A 16,433-nucleotide genomic window follows, 5' to 3' on the forward strand; every position below is an offset into this window, starting at 1 on the left:
TTCATTTTAGTAGTTCATTTCTTTTTATTGCTGGGTCCCTTGTATGGATACATCACATTTTGTTTATTCATAGGTAAGCATTTGGGCTGTTTCCATTTTGGAGGTTATTATGAATAACGCTACTGTGAGCATTCACATGAAAGTCTTTACGTGAACATATGTTTCCATTTCTTTTGGGTAGGTATCCAGGGATGAAAATGTCGGTACATTGGTATGTTGGTACATGCATATGGTAAATGCATATTTAAACTTTAAAGAAACTGTCAAACTGTTTTTCCAAAGATTTGCAGCATTTTGCATTCTTACCATCAATAGATGAGGGTTCCAGTCACACCACATCCTCATGTACCCTTGGTGTTATCTTAATTTTAGCCATTTTAATGGATGCATTTTGTTGTCTAATTTTAGATTTAATCTGTATTTCTCTACTGATTGATGATATTAAATAAACATCTTTCTGTGTGCTTCTTGGCCATTCATTTATTTTTATTTCGTAAATGTGTAGTCAAAACTTTTTTTGCCCATTTTTTCCATTTGGATTATTTGTATTCTTCTTCTTGAGTTTTAAGAGTTCTTTTTATATTCGGGGTACAAATCTTTTGTCATATCTATGTTTATTTTATATTCATATATAAATACAGATTTCCAATCCATGGCTTGTCTCTTCTTTTTTTCTTTTCTATTTTTGAGACAGGGTCTTGCTCTGTCACTCAGGCTGGAGTGCACCCTCAGCTCACTGTGGTGCCATCTCAGCTTACTGCAATGTCTGCCTCCTGGGTTCAAGTGATTCTCGTGCCTCAGCCTCCCAAGTAGCTGGGATTACAAGCATGTGTCACCATGCCCAGCTAATTTTTGTAGTTTTAGTAGAGACGGGGTTTCACTATCTTGACCAGGCTGGTCTCAAACTCCTGGCCTCAAGTGATCTGGCCGCCTTGGCCTCCCAAAATGAAGTCTTTTCATTTTTTAATGGTATTTTTCAAGAAGCAAACATTATTAACTTTGATGGAGTTCAATTTAACAGGTTTTTTTCCTTTATAGTTTGTGCTTTTTATCCCCCATCTAAAAAATCTTTGCCCTAACCCAAAGCCACAAGAATATTTTCCTGTGTTTTCTTCTGAAGTAAATATTTTTTATTTATTTATTTACATTAAAAAGAGTATTTATTGAGTACTTACTATATGCCAGGCTTGGAGCACTTCATATATATTATTTCAATAAATCTTCATAACAATCCTAGGAGGTAGGCTGTTTTGGTATTTTGTTTGTTTTATATTGTTTTTATACGTAATTACCTGCTCTACTGTTCTCTTTTAAAATTTCAATAGTTTGGGGAGAACAGGTGGTGTTTGGTGCATGGAAAAGTTCTTTAGTGGTGATTTCTGAGGTTTAGGTGCATCCATCACCCAAGCAGTGCACATTGTACCTAATGTGTAGTCTTTTATCCCTCACCCCACTCCCATCCTTCTTGCCCTCACTCCAGGCCCCAAAGCCCATTATATCATTCTTATGCCTTTGTGTCCTTATTGCTTAGCTCCCTCTTATAAGCGAGAACGTAAAATGTTTGGTTTTTCATTCCTGAGTTACTTCACTTAGAATAATAGTCTCCAACTCCAATCAGCTTTCTGCGAATGCCACTATTTTGTTCCTTTTTATGGCTGAGTAGTATTCCATGGTATCATAGATAATACATTATCTTTATTCACTGTTGGCTGATGGGCATTTAGGCTGGTCTCATAGTTTTGCAATTGTGAATTGTGCCGCTATAAGCATGAGTGTGCAGTTTCTTTTTCTTTTTCTTTTTTTTTTGACGAGATGAAGTCTTGCTCTGTCACCCAGTTGGGAGTGCAATGGTGCAATTTCAACTCACTGCAACCTCCACCTCCTGGGTTCAAGCCATTCTCCTGCCTCAGACTCCCAAGTAGTTGGGATTACAGGCGTGTGCCACCATGTGTGGCTAATTTTTTGTATTTTTAGTAGAGATTGGGTTTCACCATGTTGGCCAGGCTGGTCTTGAACACCTGACCTCAAGTAATCTGCCCACCTCAGCCTCCCAAAGTGCTGGGATTACAGGTGTGAGCCACCACACTCGGCAAGTTTCTTTTTCATATAATGACTTCTTTTCCTCTGGGTCGATACCCAGTAGTGGCATTGTTGGATGAAATAGTAGTTCTACTTTTAGTTCTTCAAGGAACCTCTATACTGTTTTCCATAGTGGTTGTACTAGTTTACGTTCTTACCAGCAGTGTAAAAGTGTTCTCTTTTCACCACCTCGCTGCCAACATCTGTTATTTCTTGATTTTTTAAAATTATGGCTATTCTTGCAGGAGTAAGGTGATATCTCATTGTGATTTTGATTTGCATTTCCCTGATAATTAGTGATGTTGAGCATTTTTTCATGTGTTTGTTGGCCATTTGTATATCTTCTTTTGAGAATTGTCTATTCATGTCCTTAGCCACCTTTTTGATGTGATTATTTGTTTTTTTTCTTGCTGATTTGTTTGAGTTCCCTGTAGATTCTGGGTATTAGTCCTTTGTCAGATGCATAGTTTGCAAATATTTTCTCCCACTCTGTGGGTTGTCTGTTTACTCTGCTGATTATTTCTTTTGCTGTGCAGAAGCTTTTTAGTTTAATTAGGTCCCATCTATTTATTTTTGTTTTCGTTGCATTCTGAAGCAAATATTTTTAATAAAGAGACAGATTTAAAAAATAGATTATGGAGTGCTGCCAATCTGTAAACTATTGTTATTAAAAAAGTAAATAGACCAAATAATCAGAAATGATAAATGAAAGTGAGCAGGGAAACAAATCTTTTATAAATCTAAAAACATTTAAAATTTAGATCTAAAATCCAAGAACAAAGGCTTGAGGTGGGTAATCATAAGCAGGGCAGAGATAAGGAATAGAAAAAGAGAAAATATACCACATGTTACAAAGAATGAAAAAATGAAGTACCTATTTGTCTTAATACATTTTGTATTGCTATAACAATACCTGAGACTGGGTAATTTATAAAGAATAAAAAAGCTTTTTAGCTCATGATTCTGGTGACTGCAAAGTTCGAGACTGCACATCTATATCTGGTAAGGGCCTCTGGCTGTTTCCACTCATAGTGGACAGTGGAAAGGAAGCTGGAGTGGGCAAAGACATCCTATGGCAAGAGAGTGAGCAAGAGAGTTAGACTGAGGAAGCCAGACTCATTAACGATCTGCTTTCATGGGAACCAATCCACTCCTGTGAGAATTCACCCCAGCAGGAGGGCATTAGTGGGCATTGATCTATTATTGAGGGATAAGTCCCCTCCCGGCATGACTCAAACACCTCCCAGCACTGCCACATTGAGGATCAAATTTCAACATGAGTTTTGGTAGGGACAAACCAAACCACAGCAGTGTTGTAGTTAAACGTTTAAATTTATAAAGGATCTTAATCTCTCTAACTCCACAGCCTTTGAATTGAGGATGGCTCCTCCACTTTTGTCTCATGTACCTGCTGGCTCAGGAAATGAAGGACTAGGATGCCTTCCTGGCCCTGCCAGGCTGGGTGGTAAGCCAGATTTTGCCCTGCTTTTCCACATGTTTTCCTCTTCCAGACTTTGAGACATCTGGCTCCTGGATCCCAGCCTGGGCCCCTGCTTTCTCTCTCCAGGTGCTCCTATTCTCTCTTCTCAGCATTTCAACGCTAAACCAGCACTTAGTGGACTCTGGCCTAGGAAATCTCGGCCCCAGCCTGGCCACGTGGCTGACACTCAGTCTATCATTCCATGAAGTAGGAGAAGGGAAGGCTTAGGAAGATATTACCACCACGAGAACTAAAGCCAGCTTAGCTTGAGATGTCTCCTCCCCAACAGTGGAATGTGAGATACTGAAGCAACATCTAGAGAACTTGGCAGAAAAAAAAAGAGAATTTAGTAATCTAGTAGAAGTTAATTTAAAAAATGTCAAATATGCTTATTTCTGGAATATAGATGATCCCAGTGTGATTTCTACAAAAGTTGCTTTAAAATGTGCTCCAAATACTAAGATAAATCAGAGAACAATTGAATTAATGGAGATTATATAGATGAAGAGGATTGGGAGTAGACTTTAAAACCATCCAAGGCGGGCATGGCGGCTCATGCCTGTAATCCCAGCACTTTGGGAGGCTGAGGTGGGTGGATCATCTGAGGTCAGGAGTTCAAGACCAGCCTGGCCAACATGGTCAAACCCTGTCTCTACTAAAAATACAAAAATTAGGTGGGCGTAGTGGCAGGTGCCTGTAATCCCAGCTACTTGGGAGGCTGAGGCAGGAGAATTGCTTGAACCCGGGAGATAGAGGCTGAGTGAGCTGACATCATGCCACTGCACTCCAGCCTGGGCAACAGAGTGAGACTCTGTCTCAAAAACAAACAAACAATAAATAATAAAAATAAAACCATCTGAAGATGGAGATATGTTGAAAGATATTAACTGATGAATAGACAGTGCTATTCTTGAAAAGTTAAAAATATTGTTAGCAGATAAATTATGAAACTATGAGTGTCTTGAAAAAAATATTCAGGAAGTGACTGAATCCACAAAGATGGTCTGAGTGCTTATTACAGGCAAAGGCCTGAGCTAAGAGTGGTTAGGAAGACAAAGACATAGAAAAGCTGAGGCCCTGTCCTTGGAGAGGTTATGATGTACACAGTTGGATATTGAAGGCTTACCGTCTTAGCGATGCTTAGGCAAAAGCAGGCGAGCAACTGGCCAGTAGGCTCTGTGCTGTCCCAGAGCCCATCTTAGGGACTAAACTAGAGCATAGGAAGTTTGAATAAAGTGGGTCAAATTCTAGGGTAGATAACATTTGGAAAGCTATAGAGAATCTGTATCTATCTATGGCAAGAAGGAGAAAAGGGTCTGGCAGGTAGGAAGTCAGGTGGAAACAACTACATCCCAGGAGTTGGCTCAGGTAGGCATCTGGAACCCAGGAGGCTGATGGCTTTCCAATCACTTCACAATCCAGCAAGACACAGAGATGGCCCTTCTCATCTCTTAGTGGGCGTTATTCTTTCTAAGGGCAGGTTTCCTGTCTGCAGCCCTGGTGCTGCTTCTTGGGCATGCTCTGGGACATGGTGGCAGCTGGCTGAAGACTAAGGAAACTCACTGCCAAAGGAGCTCACTGATCAGTCACACCGTTTAGATGTTTTTTTTTTTTTTGAGACACGGTCTCACTCTGTTGCCCAGGCTGAATGAGGTGCAGTGGCGCAGTCACAGCTCATTGCAGCCCTGAACTCCTGGGTTCAAGTGATTCCCCCACCTCAGCCTCCTGAGTAGCTGGGACTACAGGCATGTGCCACCATGCTTTTCTGAATTTGTCTTATTTTTGTAGAGATAGGGTCTCACTATGTTGCGCAAGCTGGTCTCAAACTCCTGGCCTCAAGCGATCCTCCCGCCTCAGCCTCTTAAACTGTTAGGATTACAGGCGTGAGCCACTGCATCTGGCCAATGTCAGCTTTTGAAATGTGTGTTGTGTACCTGCCATGTCTGTGAATAAGATGCTTCACGGTCTTTGTTGGGAATAACCTCTGGTTGAGTGACAGATATAGACACATCAGCAGATGATTTCCATACAACAAGGCCAATGGTAACTGCAAGAGCTGAAGTCTTCACAGTACCTCGAACACATAAAGAGGGACACTCAGCCTAAGTGCCAGGGCCTGTCAGGGAAGGGTTGCTGGAGAAATAATACTTGAGGGATTATAAGAATTTGCCATCTGTAGGTAAGGGAAAGAAGAGGACATTCAAAGGAGAGAGAGGTGGGTTTTCTATGCATAGGGAAACACTTGAGAAAAAGAGCAGGGTGTAAAGTGTGCTGGGAGCTACGTGGAGCTCCGTAATGCTAGAGCTTAGGACAGTGTGGAGCAAGGTATGATGAAAGACATCCCCATGGGCAGGGTCCTGAAGAGATCTCCAGCCCATCCATAGTGAGCATGGACCATATCTTATGGTGAGCCACTGAAGGATTATAAGTAAGAGAATGATGTTGCCATTTTAACTCACTCTGGTGGAGAAGAGAACCTGATGAGAGGCAGGGAGATTGGCTGGAAAACAAACTCTTCACACTCAGTGAAAGGTAATAAGCTTGGATCAAAGTCAATGGTAGTAGAGAAGAGAAATGAACAGATTGGAGAAATATTTAGGTGGTAAAATCTGTGGTGGGTGAGGGAAAGTGAAATACCTAGGATTTCTCCCAGCTCCCTGGCTGGACTCCTTTGTGTAATTAACATGTAATGTGGGAGTGTGAGCAGGTATGGGTCAGGGATAGGAGAGCTGGGAATACAGGGAGATTTGTATCTCTTAAAAATAATAACTGCTGGCAGGGTGCAGTGGTTCATGCCTATAATCCCAGCACTTTGGGAGGCCGAGGCAGGAGGATCACTTGAGCCCAGGAGTTTGAGATCAGCCTAGGCAACATAGCAAGACCTTGTTTGTAAAAAAATAAAAATTAAAAAAATTTTTAAAAACCTTTTATTATTATAGAAGCAGTATGGGTAGATTGTAGAATGTAAGAAAATGCAGAGAAACCAAATATAAGATAATGAAGAGACCTGTGACCCATTGATTATAACTATTACATTCTTAGCGTTTATCCTTCCAAATCTCTTTTCCTAGGAGATCATACTGCATGTGTTGGCCTGTTAGTTACTTCTTTAAGTGAGCAGTCTCCAACTTTTCCTGTCCGTAAGTTTTCTTCTCACCTTTCTCCTAAAAAATTCCTTTATTCCTGCCTTGTCCAGGTAAGGTTCTAACCCAGGACCACGAAATGCCCCTGTTATATATCATAGACACTATTTCATACAGCAGAGTCTTTTTCTTCATGATATTGTCTTATTGAAGAGACAGTGTGTATCTGAGCATCTACCATGGCCAGATGAACTGCAGAATGTCTCACCTTCTTGGGTCTATTTGGAACTGCCTAGAGGAGGTGTCATTTAGTTTGTTCCTCTATCCTGGAGGAAGATTTTTCCATAGGCACTAGTGAAAAGCAAACAAGTAATAAGCATAGAAAATGACAAGTCTAAATGAAGTATGAAGACAGCAAATGCAATAAAATTTCAGAAAAAGGGAAATAATATTAGAGCAGGCCCTTAAGTAGCAGGATAGAATGTGGATCGTTAACCAGGTAGAGATCAATTCCAATGAGATAGAACAATGAATAAAGGCTCAGATAAAAGAGAATATAGAACTGTGATCTAATGACTCAGATTAATTCTTTTTATTCAGAGAATGCTGGTACTGCTTGCCAAAATTACTGAGTGATAGAAGTAGTTGCTATACTTGTGATTGCTGCTCTATGCAATGGAAAAATTATTGCAAAGAGCATTTTAAAAGGATATCTTGTTTTAGATTATACCACTGAAGAATACTGATTTTCCATCAATTTTACCATCTGAAAGAGTTAAAACAAATGAAATTTATTCAGAAGGTGAATTTGATACAGAAACATATTTCTATGTGTTAACCTTCTGATTGTATTTTATTTGGATCACTTAAAGATTTGCTCTGGCCTATAAGTTCAAGGAGGATATAAATCTTCAGGATATATTGCTTATGTGACCATGCTACTGAAAATTTTTTTTCTGATGAAACCAGAAAGCTTTGAATGAAAATTTTCAGTTAGAAGGTAATCTCACAGAATAAATGTAGACCCATGCTTCTGAAAATAAATGATATCAAATGTCTGCTCAAATTTACCTTAGTAATTGATGCATTCTTGTAAGATTTGATCATTTAAATAAGCAGACCTTTCCATCCTGTTAGTTTGGTAACCTAAGTTCCCACTATAATCTTAACAAGAGGATTTTTTAGATGCTGTCTTAGAATGTGGAGAGATTTGTGTGTTCCCTTGGTCTCCTTCCCAATTTAGTGAGGATCACTTACATTTCAAACCTTGACCTCATCTTTGCCTTTTCTCCCCCTCATTTTACAGAGCACACCAGTCCTAAAGTAAACCCACTGATTCATCTTAAATTTTTTTTAGTTATCATACTTTATTTTTAGTTCCTATAATGAACACTCATTTCCAGGTGCTCATCACATAGGCTATTGTATAGTAATAAATTGACTTCTTTTTTCTGGTTTATTTCATCTTTGCCTACATGCTTTACACCAGAAAAATTATTCTGAAATGCAAACATCTGCACACCACTGCCTACTTAAACAAAGACACAGGACATGACCTTCAAAGATTATAAAGCAGAATTCAAATTCTGTTATTCCTACAAAGAAACTTCTGATTCAGTTTGGCTTGTCTCCTTTTTGCCTTTTGAACATGCCCCCAAATTCACTCTCCAATCCTTTCCTCCTGCCATTTTCCTGCCTTGAATCCTCTTTCTACCTTTTTTTTCCTTTCTGAGATGGGGTCTCACTATGTTGCCCAGGCTGGTCTTGAACTCCTGGGCTCAAGTGATCTTCCCACCTTGGCCTCCCAAAGTGCTGAGATTACAGGTGTGAGCCACTGTGCCCATCCCTCTTCCCTCTCTTACTGTATCTAAGCTTGCTTGTATTTAAACCTTTATCTCATCTATGGAATTTTTCTTAATGATTTTATGGCAGAGTAATCTCCATCTTCTATGAAATTGCATAATTCAATATATGCATGTCACTCATTTTGATGTTTTATTACTCTTGGCCTTTTATTACTTATTTTCCTGTGTATGTCTTCATAATCACCTCCACTGAAAATTATTGGAAAAGATGTAACACACTTTTGTATTCTCTGTGGTGCCCCAGGGGTTGGGAAAATTAATCTAGGCATCTTCTGTCCCATAGCTCACCTCCTGAATCCCGTCACGTTGACCGTAGTGTGTCACTGTGATGGCCAGGCCATCCCCAACACTACACTCCTGGAGGAGAGTCATCAGTGTGGCCCACTGACCTATTTCCTCTTCTCTGTTGTGCACATAATAAGAGTGCATTTTACTGCCCATGCTGATGCCAGGCATGGCCACGTGATTTACTCTGGCCAGTGAAATGTGAACAGATGTATACACTTCTGGGAAAATGCTTTAAGGGCCAGTTCATTCATGAGTCATCACATCCTCTCTCCTTGTCTTTACAATCTTTTTTTTCTTTTTTTTTTTTTGAGATGGAGTCTTGCTCTGTCACCCAGGCTGGAGTGCAGTGGCACCACCTTGGCTCAATGTAACTTCCGCCTCCCGGGTTCAAGTGATTCTCCTCTCTCAGTCTCCTGAGTAGCTGGGATCACAGGCACATGCCACCACACCTGACTAATTTTTGTATTTTTAGAAGAGACGGGGTTTCACCACGTTGGCCAGGCTGGTCTCAAACTCCTGACCTCAGGTGATCCGCCCACCTCGGCCTCCCAAAGTGCTGGGATTACAGGCATGAGCCACCGTGCCTGGCTGTCTTTACGATCATAAAAGCACATGTTGAGATGGAGCCTCTGGCACCCTGGGACAGAGTGACTTTGTCAGCCACTGAGATTTTGGGGTTGTCACTGTAGCATAATGTTTCTCATGCTGACTGACACAAGAAAAAGCAATCTTGACTGGGGAAGGATGAGAACTTTGCTGGCTGTATTCCAACACTCCAGACCTGTGGCTTCTGTGTGACTCATACGTGGCTGCCATTTCCCCCTCTGTCATCATCCCAGGCTGCCATACAAAATACCATAGACTGGGTATTTCATAGGCAGAAATTTATTTTCTCACAGATCTGAAGGCTGGAAATCTGAGGTCAGGGTGCCAACATGGTCAGTTTCTGATCAGTGCTCTTTTCCTGGCTTGCAGATGGCTGCCTTCTTGCTGTGTCTTCACATGGAAGAGAGAGAGAGAAAGAGAAAAAGAAAATCTTCATTTTCTTTTTGCTTTTTTAAAGACATGGGTTCTCACTGTGTTGCCCAGGTTGGACTGAAACTCCTAGGCTCAAGTCATCCTCCTGCCTCAGCCTTCTGAGTAGCTGGGACTACAGGCATGTGCCACTATATCTGATTAGAATCTTTCTTTTCTTAAAAGGCCATGGTACTGTTGAGTTAAGGTTCCAAGCCCTATGAACTTAATTAACCTTAATTACTTCCTAGAGGTCCTATCTCCAGACACAGTCACACTGGGGGGGTAGGGAAACCTGCAAACTCATATCAAGGTGCTACATTCGCACTCAAATGCTTAATTTTTTTTTTTTTTTTGAAACGGAGTCTCGCTCTGTCACCACAGTGGAGTGCAATGGCGCGATCTTGGCTCACTGCAACCTTCGCCTCCCGGGTTCAAGCGATTCTTCTGCCTCAGCCTCCCGAGTAGCTGAGACTACAGGCGCACACCACCATGCCCAGCTAAGTTTTGTATTTTTAGTAGAGACAGGGTTTCATCAGGATGCCCAGGATGATCTCAAACTCTTGACCTCGTGATCCTCCCACCTCGGCCTCCCGAAGTGCTAGGATTACAGGTGTGAGCCACCACACCCAGCCTAATTTTTTTTTTTTTTTGAGACAGCCTCACTCTGTCACCCAGGCTGGCATGCAGTGGCATGAACACAGCTCATTGCAGCCTTGACCTCCTGGGCTCCAGCCTCAGTCCCCCAAGTAGCTGGGACCACAGGTGTGAGCCATCACACCCGACCAATTTTTTTTTTTTTTTTCATAGAGACAGGGTCTCACCATGTTGCCCAGGGTGTTCTCAAACTCCTGGCCTCAAGCGATCCTTCCACCTCAGCCTCCCAGAGAGCTGGGATCACAGATGTGAGCCACCACGCCTGGCCAAAATGCTTGATATTAATTAATGAAAGAGTTATATTAGTGGTTCTCAAAATATTTCAAGTGGTTTAGTTTCTAGAAGTCATGAGTCTTTTCATGGAATACCATGAAATATTGATTTAGTAAACATGTGGAAACTAAATATAATCTTTTGTGTTGAATAAAAAAATGATTTCTTGTAGACAAAAAGGCCTATGCACAATTTATAGCAAGAGTCAAAGTTTTAAGAAAAAAAAAATACCCGTGTGAAAACCAACAAAGAAGACACTATTATTAACCTAAATTTCTCTTTGAGTTGTGAAAAGGTCATCATTATACGATTTTTAAAGAGCAGGATATCTTAGTTCTATGCACAAATATCAATATTCTTTGAGAGGCTAGTTTGGGAATGACTTCCTTTTATCAGTGAAAAAAATATATTAAAAACTGCTGTAAAAAAAAAAAAAGAAAATCTTTACCCTATACTACTACAATGTGTTTACGTATGTTTAAAATTTTTCACAATAAAAAGTTTTAAAAATTAAAAAAAAAGTGCTGTACTCTTGCCTTTCTCATGATTCACATAGGAAGAGAAACTAAATCCTGAGTTTGTATACCACAAACGAGCTGAAAAAACATAGGTAACTGTGGGATTTATCTTGTAGCCTCAAACATTCCAAGCAATAGAGAATGTTAATTGGGGGATTTCACAAACAAACAAACAAACAAACAAATGAAAGGAAACACCTCCGTTAAATGATGCTCTTTAAAACTGACTAATAACTAATACTCATTTCAGATGAGGGCTCTGCTATAAAAAGGTCTATATCCCATGATGTATTTCTTGTACCAGTGCTATAGGTTAAAAACCTTTGGTTTTATGGGAATTCATTTCCTATTAAGTATTTCTTTTAAAACAAAATATGTGCTCTTGTTTAAAAGGGCCAATCGTTTTAGTTTTCCATCATCTGAGTTAAAATGTCTTGGGACTTTTTATCCCCCCAAAATATAAAATTTCCCAAGAAATTAAACTGAAGTTAAAAAAAAATACCCCAACAACCTTGCAGATCAGACATATGGAAAAATGTTAATATATCTTTTTAAAATTTACCAAGAAAAAATTGCTACCGGGATTTTTAAAATGTGACAAATAGATACTTCACTGCATAAATGACTACAATAACATCTATTTCTATCTTCAAAAAAAGTGATTTTTCTTCTATAAGAAGTCCACTTCCATTAGCAAAGTAAAATTCTTCTAACCTTAAACTTTGAAGTAGGCTAGTCTTAAATCTGATTAAAGGAAAAAAATTTGATATGTCATAGCTTTGTCTCCTTGTCTATTTTACATTACATTACATTAGGTATTACATTACATAAGTTACATTAATAATTTATTCATCTAGCAATGTAAGAGTATGTGTTCCAGGGAAATTTTCTAGATAGCTCAAACTTACCATTATGCATCCAGCTATATAAATCAAATCAAAACAAAACAAGAAGTTTTTAAAAATGAATATATCTTGAATGTAAAGGGGCATACAATTTAACCTTTCCTCAGTGTCTTAGGGTCCTCATTATGAATGTCAGGTAAGGTGAAATACTGAAATAAAATGATATCCCCAGAGACAAAGGAGGTGTGTACAACTATTGCATGACACGAAATGGCCCCAGACTATTCTGCCTTGACACCTGAGTTCTTCTGTTTTTTTCTCATAAGCTTCTACTTCTAAAGTTACCCCAACCTTTCCTTTGTCAAAGGGTTCCAGAGTTCATCTTTACCATGGCTTACTTCTGGGTTCTCGGTTGGGTTCTATGTCCTTCATGGTTCTATTTGTGATATACTAGGAAGGGGAGATGTTATGGTCCTTTCTCCTTCTCCGGATCTCTCCTGTTTGAAGAAATAAGTCAACCGATGCTTTATAGAAACAGGTATTTAAATAAACTCATTGATTTTTGAAGGAAGTGGGGAGATGGCAGGCAAATATATCTTGTAGAATCCACATTGTGTGGAACCTGCTGTTAGCATCTCAGCAAACTCAACAAGAACTGAGTCAGTGAACAGACCTTCAAATGTGGAACTACTCTGGAGACCTGAGACCCATCTATAACTGTCTTTCTCTCTCATCTGGTTCCAAATCCCTTCCCTAAGAATCTACTCAAAGTTAGATATTCAAGGCAGAGTAGTGACTTCATAAGCAGAGAGGTAGAGGCAGTACAAGGGAACGTCACTATCCTTTAAAAGACAACCGATCATCTCAAAGTCCTTGCTGGCAGGGGAGTTGCCACTGAGGAGGAGCAGTTGACCCAGAATTCTTCATCCTGAGTTTCTCTTCCCAGGCCCCCATGTGCTGATCTTGTGGAGACACGGTTCCTCTCTGACTCTGGCCCAAGCCTCGGTACAGCCTGGGGACTTGATATCCACAGCACAGTTGAGCCATTGCAGGGGCTTGCAAAAGATTTGATAATAGATGTGACACCTTTCTATCTACTTGTCTCACTTGACTTGGAGCTTCTCGAAGGCAGAGACTGGATGTATCTCAAGCACATAATGATCAATGGTCCTTCCTCATCAAATGTTTGTTAGGGACGCAAGCTGCAGTGGGTCCTTTTGGGAATTTCTTCTTTTTTGTTCAATTTAGCACTGAATACAGATATTGACACAAGGTGAGGCTACCTAGAATTACTGTTAATCTGATAAATTTAGCTTTAGTGCATCAATTTTGTTTTCGTTGTTTATTTTTTCTAGAGACAGGGTATTGCTCTATCACCCAGGCTGGAGTGCAGTGGCATGATCATAACTCACTGCAACCTCAGCCTCCTGGGCTCAAGAGATCCTCCCAGCTCAGCCTCTCAATGTGCTGGGATTACAAGAATGAACCATCGTGCCCTGACCAACATTGTTTTTAAAATGGCAGATTAAAATAAGAAAATCTTTGATGTTCATGAGATGGAAAGTGATAATGGTCAGAATAAATATTTCAAAGTATACACATTTACCTCAATTAACTTTTGTTTTAAACACAACAGAGATGATACTGAAGTGTAGATGCTTATATTAGAGATGCTTAATATTTTTTAATCAATAAATCAAAATGAGGAGGAGCTTGAAGGATCTTTGCTTCACTTAATTCTAATGATTGTTCTATAATAGTAAGTTCCACACCATAGCCTTAGAGAAGTTACCACTTGATTAAATTTTGTAGCTGAAGGATGAATTTTTAATGTTTTCCACTATAGTTAGCCCCAATTCACTCCAGTTTAGAATGAGATTTTAGTCTAACATTAGGAAAGGGAGGTTTAAATTCCATCTGGACACACAGAAAGTGCTTGGATAGACTTGTAGGGGGGAAAAAGTGGTTTTAGTTGTTTGCCGCAAACTATTAAGATGTTTAAACAGATGGTGATCACAGTCACATGTCCTGGTGAAATGGAATTTCCTTTTCATAAATTCCTTGCAGCTTCCTCCTGATTATAAGAGGCTCATGACTTGGATTATCAGATTTTTATATACTTCCACATCTGCAATGATATAGAGGCTGCCCCAGCACTGGCCTCAGACAAGTTTAAAGCCATTTTGCAAATTCTTTCAAGGCTGGCTAACACAACTTGATCCCACCACCCCACCTCTGAAACCTTTTAACCTGTAATGGTTTCTCCTCTTTCTGCTGGGCTTTTCTACAGATATTCTGTTATATACAGCACTGGGACAACACCAATACAAATTTCACTTAAAAAAAATAAATTTAACTATGCCTAGTTATTTATAATTTTTAACAAAAATTGTTTTCCTTCTTCCCTTTCACCTTCTCTTTAAAGATGTTTCCCTGATGCCCTTTCTGATTTCGTTAGTTTTATTTATTTATTTATTTATTTATTTATTTATTTATTTATTTTTTAAACAGAGTCTCACTCTGTCATGCAGGCTGGAGTGCAGTGGTGCGATCTCAGCTCACTACAACCTCTGCCTCCCGGGTTCAAGTGATTCTCATGCCTCAGCCTCCTGAGTAGCTGGGATTACAGGCGCCCACCACGATGCCTGGCTAATTTTTGTATTTTTAGTAGAGACTGAATTTCACCATGTTGGCCAGGCTGGTCTCGAACTCCTGGCCTCAAGTGATCCACCTGCCTTGGCCTCCCAAAGTGCTAGGATTACAGGAGTGAGCCACCGCGCCCATCTGCATTACTTCTTTATCTTCCCTGTGACCTAGCTTTTGAGTAACAAGTTCCGACTATTGAGTATTATATTTTTCAAAGAGGAAGAGAGTCTGAGAGTTCACTATAAAACAGTTCTAGCTCTCATTCTACATATATTTAGATGAACACAAACTAAGTTCTATAAATACATAAGGTGGTAGATAGGGTTATTTAGCCCTTTAATAGTTCTAAATAACAGTTCGTGCTAGGTGCAGTGGCTCACATCTGTAATCCCAGCACTTTGGAAGGCTGAGGAGAAAAGATCCCTTGAGGCCAGGAGTTCGAGACCAGCCTGGGCAACATGGTGAGAGTCCATCTCTATAAAAATAAACTAAAATGAAAATACCATAGTGTCTTAATTTTAAAAAGAAACAAAAACATTTCACTTCTCCCTTAAATGCAAGGTTGTAGATTTGTGTACTTGGAAAGTTTGTGAAATATTCCATAAGTGTAAGGAGAAAGTGAAATTTGGAAGTTTATTGTGGAACCAGCTTTTTGTGATTTTATGATAGATGGAGAAGCATTCATGTACTGGCTTTCCTGTCACGGTGTCTTTTTATAAGCCAGGCACTGTCCTAGGCACTTTGCGTACATTATTTCATTTATTTATCATAACAGTCCTACAGAGAAGGCGCTATTGTTACCCACATTTCAATAGGTTAAATAACTTACTTAAGATCTGAATGGTGTGGACAGCTAGAAAGCTCCAGGCACAGGACTCCATTCAGATCAGAGTAAAGCCACAGCTTGTACTTTGTCCCATTGGGCCACATTGCCCATGTGCTGTGAGCTGACTCATTTCTCTTCTCATTGTGTCTCAGATGCCTGAAATATTACTAACTGAGATTTATTCTTTTATGTTAATGCATAGTCCCTAGTTAAAATACTAATCCTTTGGGTGGGTCAACAGGTTAAGCTGTCTTAGTCATTAATAACATTTAGTGTGAGCTGATGCATTAGATTCTTTCTACTGTGATTAACTTCAGCTAAAAATAGCAGGGAACTAGTAAAAGACAAACCATTCTCCACTAGGTGAAGATAGGTGTGTCCTTCTTTTGGCTTATGGGGATTGCTGATTTCATATCAACAGGAATTTCATATTTTACTAGTTATTGGATTAGGTGCCATTTTTGCGATATGATTTCATATGTAGCCTCTCGGAATAATTGAATTAAATACTTTGAAGTGTGTGAAGCCAGTGAACAAACCTTTATTTGAAGACTAACGTTCAACTTTGGTGTTCAGCTTTGTAGAAAACCAAACAAAACCTTCTTCATTTTTAGCTTAAGTCTCCCAAAAGTGGGATTTAAAAGGTAACCCAGCTTTTTACGAGAAACTGATCATGGTGTTGGCTCATGTTGCGATTTCCAATCTGTTTTAAATTGGGATTAATGGCTCCTTCTTTTAGGGCAGCATTTCAGTTGTATCTGCATAGCTTTCCCTAGAAAATCTGAGGCTGAGGTGGGCGGATCACGAGGTCAGGAGCTCGAGACCATCCTGGCTAACACGGTGAAACCCCATCTCTACT

General features: G+C 39.7%; 2 annotated features.

Moving 5' to 3' along the window:
* Positions 2,937-3,527: an enhancer, noted in NCBI's record as "OCT4-NANOG-H3K27ac hESC enhancer chr10:23099405-23099995 (GRCh37/hg19 assembly coordinates)". NCBI's record gives its function as "activates a minimal SCP1, AML or CMV promoter by ChIP-STARR-seq in naive H9 embryonic stem cells {active_cell/tissue: H9 hESC(naive)}" and the evidence as "EXISTENCE:reporter gene assay evidence [ECO:0000049][PMID:30033119]".
* Positions 3,528-4,117: an enhancer, noted in NCBI's record as "OCT4-NANOG-H3K27ac hESC enhancer chr10:23099996-23100585 (GRCh37/hg19 assembly coordinates)". NCBI's record gives its function as "activates a minimal SCP1, AML or CMV promoter by ChIP-STARR-seq in naive H9 embryonic stem cells {active_cell/tissue: H9 hESC(naive)}" and the evidence as "EXISTENCE:reporter gene assay evidence [ECO:0000049][PMID:30033119]".

This window comes from Homo sapiens, chromosome 10 (assembly GCF_000001405.40).
Source record: "Homo sapiens chromosome 10, GRCh38.p14 Primary Assembly".
Taxonomy (NCBI): domain Eukaryota; kingdom Metazoa; phylum Chordata; class Mammalia; order Primates; family Hominidae; genus Homo; species Homo sapiens.